The sequence below is a fragment of the Homo sapiens genome, chromosome 1 (genome assembly GCF_000001405.40).
Source record: "Homo sapiens chromosome 1, GRCh38.p14 Primary Assembly".
NCBI lineage: Eukaryota > Metazoa > Chordata > Mammalia > Primates > Hominidae > Homo > Homo sapiens.
In genome coordinates, this window is record NC_000001.11 from 92,133,724 (window position 1) to 92,146,880 (window position 13,157).

Consider the following 13,157-nt stretch of genomic DNA (forward strand, 5'->3'; position numbering starts at 1 on the left):
ACTTTGGGAGGCTGAGGCGGGCGGATCACAAGGTCAGGAGATCGAGACCATCCTGGCTAACACGGTGAAACCCCATCTCTACTAAAAATACAAAAAATTAGCCGGGCGTGGTGGCGGGCGCCTGTAGTCCCAGGTACTTGGGAGGCTGAGGCAGCAGAATGGCGTGAACCCAGGAGGCGGAGCTTGCAGCGAGCCGAGATCGTGCCACTGCACTCCATCCTGGGTGACAGAGTGAGACTCTGTCTCAAAAAAAAAAAAAGAATTCTATGATCCTAGTTCCATCCATGCCCCAGAGTTGGGGAGTGGAAGGATATAGTTGGAAGGAAATTTTCCTGCTCTAGCAGACAGAAAGGGAAAATTTTCCACATACTATAATGTAAATTGAACCACAGCCAACACTTCTGTGAAGGAACTCCACTTGTTTCATTTTATTAATTAAAAGTCTTCCAGTGGTGCCTGGGCTTTGGAGCATAAATTTGGATTTTCCTATCTCCCTTGAGAGATTCCTGGGATTGCCCTGGCCTTCAATATAAGTTTTGAAATATAAATGAGATGTATTTTCTGTCCTGACTAAAATCCTTCAGTGTCTTCTCATTATAATTATAATTAAACCCAAACTCTTGACCATGACCTGCAAGACCCTCCATGATCTGGCCCCTGGCCTCACTCTAGTTTTGTACCATTCTTACCTGCATTTGTGGATCTTTCCTCCAATAAGTTCATTCCTGCATCAGGGCCTTTGTTTTTTTGGCTTCCTCTGCCTAAGAGTTTTTCACCTAGTATTTTGCATGGCTGGCTTCTTCTCATGCATGAAATCTCAGATCAAGCATCACCTTCCCAGACTGTCACCTAATATAGCTACAGACCAACTCCTCAGTTACTCTCTCTTATATAATCCTATTCTGTTGTCTTCATGGCACTTTGACTATCAAAATTATCTTTTTAATATTGCCCATGTCCTTCCACTAGAATGTTAAACTTCTTATATCTACAAAGTTTAGAATGAGCCTGTCATTCAAAAATATTAATTATGAATGAACAAAGAATGAGTGAATGAATGGAGTCTCTGTGTCCCCTTAGCCCACACACAGGGCTCCACATAGGAGCCTGAAACTTTAGAAAGGACACAATGAAGCAGAGATTTTATTTTATTTAATTAATTAATTAATTAATTTTTTTTTTTTTTAGACAGAATTTTACTCTTGTTGCCCAGGCTGGAGTGCAGTGGCGTGATCTCGGCTCACTGCAACCTCCACCTCCCGGGTTCAAGCGATTCTCCTGCCTCAGCCTCCTGAGTAGCTGGGATTACAGGCATGTGCCACCATGCCTGGCTAATTTTATATTTTTAGTAGAGACGGGGTTTCTCCATGTTGATCAGGCTGGTCTCGACCTCCTGACCTCAGGTGATCCACCTCAGCCTTCCAAAGTGCTGGGATTATAGGCGTGAGCCACTGTGCCCGGCCTTATTTTATTTATTTTTTTGAGACAGTCTTGCTCTGTCGCCTGGGCTGGAGTGCAGTTGCGCGAACTTGGCTCACTGCAATCTCCACTTCCCAGGTTCAAGCAGTTCCCCTGCCTCAGCCTCCTGAGTAGCTGGGATTACAGGCGTGTGCCACCTCACCCAGATAATTTTTTATTTTTAGTAGAGACAGGTTTTCACCATGTTGGCCAGGCTGGTAACACAGAGATTTTAGTAATCTACGTTCATGTTTAGTCTCTGATCTTAGATCTTTGTCCTAAAATCGGTTTTTCTTTTTTCTGAATACATGTAATGTTTTCATCTCCTGTAAGCTTTTATTCTGATTACATTTTAATGGGAATAGTGCTTTAAATCTTTCCATTTAAACTATGGGCTATTGGAACAATTTATTGCTTTTCTAGGTCAGTTGATCATGTCTTATAAACACTTTTAGTAAAAAATACAATACAAATGACTTAAAATATAATGAGAATGCAGCTTAGTAAAACATCTCTCAAGACAGCAGGAAAACTATTTCTTACCCTTTTTATAGTATCATATATATTGATATATAGGTTCAAATGTCTAGATTTTGCTGTTTATTTTAATATGACTTATTTTTATTTAGTCATTATCTTTTGCTTAACATATCAAGTATTTTTTAAGAAACTATTATTTCAACATAAATAGCCAATTCTTATTAATGTTGATAAGAATCGTTCTGGAAATTCTGAGGAAAAGTATAGAGAGTATTACACATTCAAGTAATTATGCTAGGGTTTTAGCAAACTACAGATAATATGCTTAATTATTCTGAGATTAAATCTTGTCATATCTGTAGTACATAAATGAGAACATTTAGATATTTGACTTTATTTCCTAAGTATTAAAGATGCAGAATTTTGAATCAGCAGAAACTAGTACTTAGCCATGGTAGGGATCAGTAAATATTTATTTAATTAATGGAAAAGTGTTTCTGTATTTTCAATTTAGTCTCCCTCTGAAGGTTTGAGAAGATGCTGTAAGTGCCCTAATAAGCCATTTGTTAAACATTTATCAAACATTTATTGAACATATATTATTTAAGGCCATAGAATCAAAGCAAACACCTTTCTGATTCCTTCTGATTCCTGCTTTCTGGGACTCCACTTATTTTCTTCTTTTTTTTTTTTTTCTTTTTATGAACCTGCCATTGAGAACATAGCCATTTGTTTTCTTCTTGCCTTCCTCATTTTGTTTCTTTAGCAGATATTAGGTACTATGCTTAACAAACTGTAGGGATCTTGCCAGCACTGTCCAGATCATGATTCTACTGCAGAGGCCCAGTATTACGTGGGGAAAGGAAATTCTTCTGATCCTGGGGGTATTGAATCATTGCTGACATTCTGCTGTTATCAGAGATACAAGGATAAATGGCACGACCCTGCCCTTGCAGAACACAGTTCAGAAGGAAAGACAGATGTGTTAACAAAAATACTGCAAATCAGTTTGATAAATGTGATAATGGAAGTGTGTGTAGTATACTGCTTCAGAGCCCAGGCTTTGGATTCAGTCTGCCTGGATTTAAATTCCAGTGCATTTTGATCTTGGGCAATTTACTTAATTTCAGTTTCTTCATGTATAAAATGAGACTAATAGTGGTATCTGCTGTAGAGTTGGTATGGTGATTAAATGAGCCAATAGCATTCAGAATACTTATTAGCTCAGGGACTGGCTCATAAGTGCTCAATAGGTGATAATTGTTGTTTTTAACATTCAGTAATTTTTTTTCACCTTGGGTACATTAGGAAACAATCAGGGATAAAAAGCCACATGTCTTGTGTCTGAAAGATAAAATAAGTGGAGAGGGGAAAGCATTTTAAGCACAGTGAACGGTATGTGCTAAGACATGGATGTATAAGGAAGTGTAAGTAGCTCAGGTATAGAAAATGAGTAAGTTTAGTTATCTTGGAACAGCTGCTAGAGAGGGAGAACTGGAGGTCAGATGATAAAGGAATTTGGACTTTCTTTTATGGGCTTTGGAGAATAATTAAGAGTTTTATTAGAGTTTAAAATAGAATAATTGAAGAGTTTAAGCAGGATACTATATCGTATATTCATTTTAGCAAAGTCACCCTAATAGTAATTTGGGAAATGGGATGCAAGTGGAAGATTCCAGGCCAGAAACCTGTATGAGAGGATACGGTCATAGTACAGATGGGAGAAAATAAGAGGCTGAACCAGGGCAATGAAAGAGGAAATAGAGAGCAGAGGCTGAACTCAAGAAATTCTGGAAGGTACAAATGATTGACAGGACATAGTGAGGGAGAGGACTAAGATGAACCTCAGGTTCTGACTTAGGCATATAGATGAATAATGTCTGTTGGAGTCTTCAAGGGGGCCCAATAAATAGCATACTTCCTTCCTGTTCAGAATAAGACAAAATAATCAGTAAGTGAAGTAAGAAAATATTTCCTTTATTACAGATAAAAACTGTTAAAGCAGTACAGATTGAGTATCCCTTATCTGAAATGCTTGGGATCAGAGTGTTTCAGATTTTTTCAGATCTTAGAATCTTTGCATATGTAGTAATGAGAAATCTTGGGACTTGGGGATGGGGATGATGCCTAAGTCTAAACACAAAATTTATTTATGTTTCGTATACACTGTCAAATTCAAAATAAAATATAGAGACAAATCTCTAAATTAAATGTTTTATTTGAGAATCATAGAATTACAATTCAGAGCCTACACACAGACTGTTGTGATCTTCCATATGTCTGAAGAGCAATGAGAGGTTGGGGGTTTTACTTGAGAAACATGTATTGTTTGGAAAGGAAGCTCATTGGCACTAGAGAAGCTTTTGGGAGCTGCAAACTCTGATTTGAGTGAAGGCGGTAGGTAAGACTAGTCAAGGCAGGTTGTTTCAGCAGCTACTAGGTAAAACAGTTCTTAGGGTTACAGCAGGCTGTTTCTGCAGCTGGCGATGTGGAAAATTCAATTCTTGAAGCAGATGCTATGTGCCCCAAGTGCTTTTGCCCCCCACAACTTGACTCTGATTTAGTTGGGTATGAAAAGAATGATCCAATTTTTATAATCAACTTACACAACACCTTATAGCCTGAAGGCAATTTTATAAAGTATTTTAAATAGTTTTGTGAATGAAACAAATTTTGTGTATATTGAACCATCGGAAAGCAAAGGTGTCACTATCTCTCATAAAATGCTAAAATTTTGTAGCATTTTAGATTTCCGATTTTCAGATTAGCAATGCTCAACCTGTAGAATGTGCTCTAATGCAAGAGCCAAAGTTGGCTTGCTTACTGTATCCCTCTAAAACAGCTCACCTGAGAGAAAGTTTGAATCTGCATGGCAGATATACTTCTTCTCCATCATCTCTTCCCACTGGTTCAGCAGAGAAGAAAGGAGAACATATATCAGATTACCTCTTATCTGGAGTTCCTCCCAACTGATAACCAGTTGTTGTCCACCAACCACATGATTCACTCCCTTTAGTATAGAGGAATAGAGGCTGGGGTAAGATGCAAGACGCTATGTAGCAGTGCTCTCAACAAGATGGGAATAACAGAAAGAGGACTAAGTTTGGTGTGGGGAGTAAGAAGAAGGTCATGAATTTAGAGTTTGAGATATGGCACTCAATTGGATATAAAGGTTATCATTCCAAACTACCTCTTAAGTCATGCCTTTTCTTTTTCATTTGTGTAATGAGTACGTTGGCCAATCTTAGAGCCACTGACAGGTGTTACAAATTAAGAAATCTGTGCAGCATAACAAGAATCTTCCTAGTGAATAGATTTGTACATTTGAGTCTTTAAGCAAGACCAGAGGGCGTTTGTTGAAAATGCTGAGAAGAGGATTTCTTAATGAGCCAGAGGTTAGACAGTGAGTAGAAGTGTTTTCTAACTTTAAAAGTGTATGGTAGAAGACGCTCAATAAATAATGATTTGATAACATACTAATAACCTTGTATAACTTATATAAAAATCCATTGTTGTAGTTCTGTTTAAATTAATGGTATACCTGCATGGATGTTATTTGAAGAGTATATTCTTCAGGTAAAAGGAAGATTAGAACATCATCTTGGCTCGAAGTTTATGGGAAAATAGAATGAATCATTGATATCAGTTAAACCTTAATTCTGGATTTGAGTTTTCTTTTATTTTTCAGTATAAGCCATGTAGAACTGAATGTTATGATGCATTTTATATATGGAGGAACTCTGGACATTCCAGACAAAACTAATGTTGGGTATGTATTCCTTTTTAATAATTTAAAATATAAAAGAGTTAGGTTCTGCTTTGTTGAGCTGTGTTGCAAAGTGTTAATGAAGTAGAAACTTTGCTTTTTATAGTCTATTATACTATATCTTCAGTAGGTTTTGAGAACATCTAAAAACAATAAGCAAATCATCTTATTTAGAAGAAAAGGTGACTTATCAACTCACAGTAATAAGATTGAGAACAGTCTTTATTAGACTTAAATTTAGAAGAAGCTATAAATTATGGTTTATAGATCAATAAATTGATTAAACTTTTATCAAACTTTAAAAATTACTACTTTTTAAATTTTAGGATATCTTTTCTAAACAGCAAAAGAAAAGAAAAAACATAGTTAAGAATATAGGGGCTGGGTGCGGTGGCTCTCGCCTGTAATCCCAGCACTTTGTGAGGCTGAGGCGGACGGATCACAAGATCAAGAGATCGAGACCATCCTGGCTAACATGGTGAAACCTCGTCTCTACTAAAAATACAAAAAAAAAAAAAAAAAAAAAAAAAAAAAAAGCTGGGCATGGTGGTGTGCACCTGTAGTCCCAGCTACTCGGGAGGTTGAGGCAGGAGAATCGCTTGAACCTGGGAGGTGAAGGTTGCAGTGAGCCAAGATCATGCCACTGCACTCCAGCCTGGTGATAGAGCGAGACTCTGTCTCAAAAAAAAAAAAAAAAAGAATATAGGGCATTTGCCAGGCGTGATGGCTCACACCTGTAATCCCAGCACTTAGGGAGGCAGAGGCGGGAGGATAGCTTGAGCCCAGTAGATCGAGATCTGCCTGGGACTGTAGCGAGACCCGGTTCTTGGGGGAAAAAAAAACCAAAAAGAATATAGGGCATCCTAAAGACCAACAACTGTGATTTTTAAATGCGCTATAGTGAAATACCATCTAAGCCTCTGAAATCCTACTTGGGAGTGAAATTTCACCTTGCTCTTTTAATTTTCTAGATGTCTTCCATTTTCTTGCTATTCTAACATCAGACAAATGAAAGCTACTTTTTTAATTTTAAAAATTACTTGGTTCCTTTAATTTTAAACTGAATAAACATGTTTTTCAGGAGAACATACCATGAGTCCCAGGATTTACTACTAAGGTTTTGTCCCCTGGCAACCTATACAAAATTTTGTCATTCTTTCAAAGCTTGTAGGCTTCTTAAGTACCTAAAGTATGTGTAGGTGTTCAGAAATACTTGCCAAATGAAAGAAGCAAAAGAAACTCTGGTCATTGGATGCTATCTCCAATCTTAGGGTTATTTGTAGACATTTTCAATATGATCAGACATTAGTGAATTGCCTCCCCGCCCCTGCCAAGAAACTTTTATTATACAAATTTGTTGCAGAGAGTTTTGTAACTTTTACAGCCTTTAAAGCAATTTCTTGGATTTTGTTCTGTATGTCACTTAGTATATGAAGGGAATTTGAGACATCTCCAAATTTATTTCTTGTTCTCTACTAATCAAATCATGTGTCAGTGCTTTCAACTTTTGGCCTATGCCCTGTTTATAATCCATAAAGGGTGTATGTTATGTAAGGCAGAAAATTAGAATTAAAATATTTCAGATTATTCTTTTTTAAAAACAGACTATATATTATCAATAAATTAGTATGTGTTGTGCCTTGATTTTTAAATTGGAGAATTAACAGTGCATCTATTTTTATTTTAGTCAGATACTCAATATGGCTGATATGTATGGACTAGAAGGATTAAAAGAAGTAGCAATCTATATTTTAAGAAGAGATTACTGTAATTTCTTTCAGAAGGTAATTATTGAGCCTCAGAAATCTTTTATCCAGTGCATTGTCACCCATTATTACCTGCTAGATTTTTAACTCTGATAGTAATAGTGCTTTAAATATTTAAAATATTAAGTAAATTTAACTAATGAGAACTCCAGTTGAGAAATAATTCATATGATCTGCTTGTAAAAATCAGAAACTAATTCAAATAATTTTAAGTAAAACAAAATTGATGGGAGGGTAGGTATTGAGTAGGAGTATCCTGTATAATTCAAAGGTGCTCAGAGTTTGGAACTAGGAGAAAGGAAGTTAAGAACTAAGGTTACTTTCCCCATTTATCAAAGGGCTACACAGTGCTTTATTTGTTCTTATTCCTGAAAGTGTAATCCTTCTTTCTACCACTTCTCTTTATAGCAGGGACTTGGGGTGGAATGTAGTTCTCTTATGCCAGTCTCTTCAGGTGACCTATGGATACTAACTAATTTTAATTTTAGTTACTGCAAAGGTAAGTTAAACATCTAAAGAAAGATCTCATACTATGCATTTTGAAGCCATTCATACATTATTCTTAGATTACCCATGGTTTTAATACATTCTGCGACTGTAGGTTATTTTTATTTTCTTATTTATGCTTTTCTATGTTTTTAAAATTTTCTACAAAGAATGTGTATTACTTTTATAATCAATAAAAACAAATCTAACTTTTTACATCATATTTCTCTCTTACTGGTGTTTGAAGCAATAATATGCATTGTATGAATTCTAATTAGGTGGTTTTAATAACGCTTAAATTTAGATTTTTGTTTTGGGTAGGTCTTTTTCTACCTCCCTACAAGTTGTAGCTGCAGAAGCAGCCCATGTGCTAAACGAAAGCCATAAACAACTGGGTCTAGTACCACGAACACTACCAACCCCATAAGGTTTACTGAGAAATAGTTAACCCCTCGGCTTCCTTTAACGAACCATTCACTTCAGCCTCTGTAAATAAGGGCCTTGGAAGAAGGAGGGCAGCTGGTGGTGTCCTCAGCTTTGTAGAAAGTGAGGAATTCTGGTCAAAGGTTCTTCCTTCTTCATATGTCTCCCTCATATTTCCAGCCAAGTGAAAGTTAGGGGGATCCAAGTAAATCACAAAGATTAAAGCTAGAGAATATCTGCAATGAGGAGATGATGTCTTCTCATCCCCTAGATGAACATTAACTATATCTGTAAAACCATCCCACCCTGGAGCTTCTATCAGAGACGAAGAGAAAGTGATAAGAAATTTCTTAGGAGAGCTTGGAGTATGTCTGAGAAGCCAGTGAGAATATACTTGAGTGAGGAGATTTCTAAAGAGAGAAGGCTTGCTGGAGAAGCCAAAACCAGCCTTGGTGTAAGGAACTACAGTTATTGTCATACAGAGAAAAGAAGTATGAGGAGTCCACTCTGCACCCCGGTTACACATGGTCCACAGCGAAGGAGGAGGACCTTAATGGTTTCATGAAAGTTAGAGGAGACTGATACAGGGCTAGATGACACCATGTCCCACTTGGGGAGGTATTGTGCATCGTGAGCCACTTGAAGAGTTCTTATCTACAGAGAGGCCAGGTTGAAGCTTGATCTGCCACTAAAGGAGCCATTACATCAATAAAGGCCTCCAGTATCTGAATTAGAACAAAGCTAAGGACATCTCCCTACTACCATCTTGGTCTCTGCTTAATTAAGTAAGGTGACCAGAGCCATTTATAGTCTTCCATATGAATTTGACCCAGAAAATGGAGGAGCAGGAGATCAGACCATGCTCTACTCTCTATTTCACATCTCAACCATAAATCTAGTCAGCAATGGGGAGGGAAAGATTTAAATCAGATACAATGAAAAGATAGGTGTTAAAATAGTACTGTGCTGAATTTCAATAACAATAGTATCCAGAAAGTACTAGAATCTGCCTATAGTTTCATTAAGGGATGGGAAAAAGGGGAGATTTGACATAGTGTGGTTGAAAGCATTCGTTGGGAAAATAAAAAGTCTCATGTTAGTGTCTTCTCTGAGCTGAGATTCTTCAGTAAGCCAGTTAAAGCTTATTTAAGAGCCTTAAAAGCTGTAAAAATAGTCTTTTATGAGTAGTCTTGGGACCATTGCCTCTATTTTTTTTTTAATATGTGGATGAGTATATGTGGGTTTTATGCAGCTTCTTGTATTTTATTTTCAATAATTCACTTTATTTTAAAAACACAAAAGACATTTTTTATATTATTAATAAAAACAGAAAATGAAGTTTATTTTTAATTATCAGTACGGTATTTTGTTGAAAACTTTTTTTGCTTTTATTTATTTATTTACGTATGTATTTATTTATTTATTGAGACAGAGTTTTGCTCTTGTTGCCTAGGCTGGAGTGCAGTGGTACGATCTCTGCTCACTGCAACCTCTGCCTCCCAGGTTCAAGCGATTTTCTTGCCTCAGCTTCCTGAGTAGCTGGGAGTACAGGAGCGTGCCACCATGCCCAGCTAATTTTTTGTATTTTTAGTAGAGACGGGGTTTCACCATGTTGGTCAGGCTGGTCTTGAACTCCTGACCTCAGGTGATCCACCCACCTTGCCCTCCCAAAGTGCTGGGATTACAGGCATGAGCCACTGTGCCTAGCCACTTATTTTAATATTGTCTATTTTGCTGTGGTAACAGATATTTGAGAGAACAATTTCTGGTTTTGTTGACCTAATCCTTAAAATTTTTGCTTTATATTTCTTAATGTATATTTTTATAAATATACTTTTGAATATATATAATTTTGAACTTTTAGTTCTTTTTTTTTTTTTTTTTTTTTGAGTTGGAGGCTCCCTCTGTCACCCGGGCTAGAGTGCAAGTGGTGCGATCTCAGCTCACTGTAACCTCTGCCTCCCAGGTTCAAGCGATTCTCCTGCCTCAGCCTCCCCAGTAGCTGGGACTACAGACGCGTGCCACCATGCCTGGCTAATTTTTGTATTTTTAGTAGAGACGGGGTTTTATCATGTTGGTCAGGCTGGTCTCTAACTCCTGACCTCAGGTGATGCACCCGCCTTGGCCTCCCAAAGTGCTGAGATTACAGGAGTGAGCCACTGTGCCCAGCCTTAGTTCTTAATTATGCAATTTTTTGGCTGTGACTTAAATATCATAAACTTATAATAATGTTATACAGTAATACAAATATGGGTATAATGTGATGGGCAGTCGGCCCCAGAACTCCTAGCAAGCTAACTTCAATAATTTCATTAGCTTCACAATCCTGCCTTTTACACAATTAAACATTTTGGACTTCATTTATAGGATTTTGGTAGGCTTTACATTTTTTTTTTTTTGTCACCAATTAAAAGTATACTTTAGGCCTGGTGTGGAGGCTCATGTCTGTAATCCCAGCACTTTGGGAGGCCAAGGTAGGAGGATTGCTTGAGCCCAAGAGTTTATAACTGGCATGGGTAACAGAGGGAGATCCTGTCTCTACAAAAAATTTAAAAAAAATTAGCCAGGCATAGTGGGATGTGCCTGTGGTCCCAGCTACTCAGGAGGCTGAGGTGGGAGGATCACTTGAGCCCAGGAATTTGAGGCTGCAGCGAGCCATGGTCACACCACTGCATTCCAGCCTGGGTGACAGAGCCAAAAAAAAAACTACACACACACACACACACACACACACACACACGTATACACACACGTATATATTTTATATAACTTAAAGTATCTCCAGTTATCTCAAAGGGATCTTAATTGTTTAAGTTGTTAATATGCAAAGCAAAATATTTACATTCAATTTCTTTTTTGTTGTTGTTTTTTTGAGATGAGTCTCACTCATTCAGTCACCCAGGCTGGAGTCAAGTGGCGGGATCTCAGCTCACTGCAACCTCCAGCTGCCTCCCAGGTTCAAGTGATTTTCCTGCCTCAGCCTCCTGAGTAGCTGGGATTACAGGCATGTGCCACCACGCCTGGCTAATTTTTGTATTTTTAGTAGAAATGGGGTTTTGCCATGTTGGCCAGGCTGGCCTTGAACTCTTGACCTCATGTAATCCACCTTGCCTCGACATCCCAAAGTGTTGGGATTACAGGTATGAGCCACTGCACCTGGCCTACATTCAATTTTTTTAATACTAATATAACACTTTTAGGAGAGGGGTATTAGAAAATCAAATCAATAGCAATTCATAAATAAAGAGTTGGAAATCACTGACCTTACCAGAAGGACTATGCTGGAGACATTTCCAAAGAAGGTTTTGCTCTTCTCTGAGAGAGGAGATCTTCAGAAATACACATTTAGAGACTAGATATACAAATTGGCTGTTTGATGGTCTTTATTTAAAGTGTATAAAGAGAAATTAAACTCTTCAACCTAATTGAGAAATAAATGTGCTTAGAAACGTCCAAAACATGAAAATACATGGCATGGGCAATACATAGCAAGGATATGTAACAAGAGAAGTGAGTTGTTTTCACTACTTGTATCTACCTTTTATTTGTTTTCATTTATTATTTCTGTGTATGTGCTTTTAAAAAATACCTTACGTAGGCCGGGTGTGGTGGCTCACGCCTGTAATCCCAGCACTTTGGGAGGCCAAGGCGGGTGGATCACGAGACCAGGAGTTCAAGACCAGCCTGACCAACATGGTGAAACCCCATCTCTACTAAAAATACAAAAAGTTAGCCAGGCGTGGTGGCAGGCGCCTGTAATCCCAGCTACTCAGGAGGCTGAGGCAGGAGAGTCGCTTGAACCCAGGAGGCGGAGATTGCAGTGAGCTGAGATCGCACCACTGCACTCCAGCCTGGGTGACAGAGTGAGAATCTGTCTCAAAAAAAAAAAAATACATCATGTAATTATGATCTAATTAAATTCTTCTTATCTGAGATCAATATAGGGCCTCTCATTGCACAATTACTTTAATTTATATTTATACGTTAGGAAGCAGATTAGACCATGTTGTATTGCAATGTGATGTGCTAGAAATTATTATACTACTTTTGCTTTAAAAAAGATATTTAACCTAAAATAAATTAGAATAAAAATCGTGTGCATTCTTGACAGCCAAAGAGTTCAAATGATATGCCATAAAATTAAAAGTTGTTAGTGACACTTGGTTTTAAAAGAATAACAGACTTTAAAAAAAAACAAAACTTAGAGCATTTTTAGTTTCACAGCAAAATTGAGAGGAAGGTACAGAGATATCCTACATACCCACTTTCTTCCACACATGCATAGCTTCCCCCATTATCAACGTCCCACACTGGAGTGGTACCTTTGTTACAACCAATGAGCATACAGTTACACATTATCATCCAAAATTCATGGTTTACAATAGAGTTTGCTGTTGGTGTTGTACATTTTATGGGTTTATACACATGTATAATGACATGTATCTACCATTATAGTATCATACGGAGTGTTTTCAGTGCCATAAAATCCTCTATGCTCTGACTGCTCATCTTTCCCTCCCCATTAACCCCCAGCAACCACTGACCTTTTTACTGTCTCTGTAGTTTTGTTTTTTTCCGGGATGTAATATAGTTGCAATCATACAGTATATAGCCTTTTCAGATTGGCTTCTTCCACTTAGTGATATGCATTTAAGATCCCCCCATGTCTTTTCATGGCTTGATAGCACATTTCTTTTTAGAGCTGAATATTTCATTGCACGGATGTACTACAGTTTATTTATCCATTCATCTAGTAAAGGACAACATGGTTGCTTCCA

General features: G+C 37.6%; 1 protein-coding gene across 5 annotated transcripts in view; it reads left to right on the plus strand.

Moving 5' to 3' along the window:
- Positions 1 to 13,157, plus strand: part of BTBD8 (BTB domain containing 8) — a 104,379-nt gene that overhangs the window by 53,379 nt on the left and 37,843 nt on the right. For all 5 annotated transcript variants that reach the window (XM_047418461.1, NM_001376131.1, XM_047418464.1 and 2 more), the window contains exons 6-7: positions 5,627 to 5,707; positions 7,392 to 7,488. In XM_047418461.1, the coding sequence (XP_047274417.1) occupies positions 5,627 to 5,707; positions 7,392 to 7,488 (178 nt within the window). The remainder of the gene's footprint in view (positions 1 to 5,626; positions 5,708 to 7,391; positions 7,489 to 13,157) is intronic.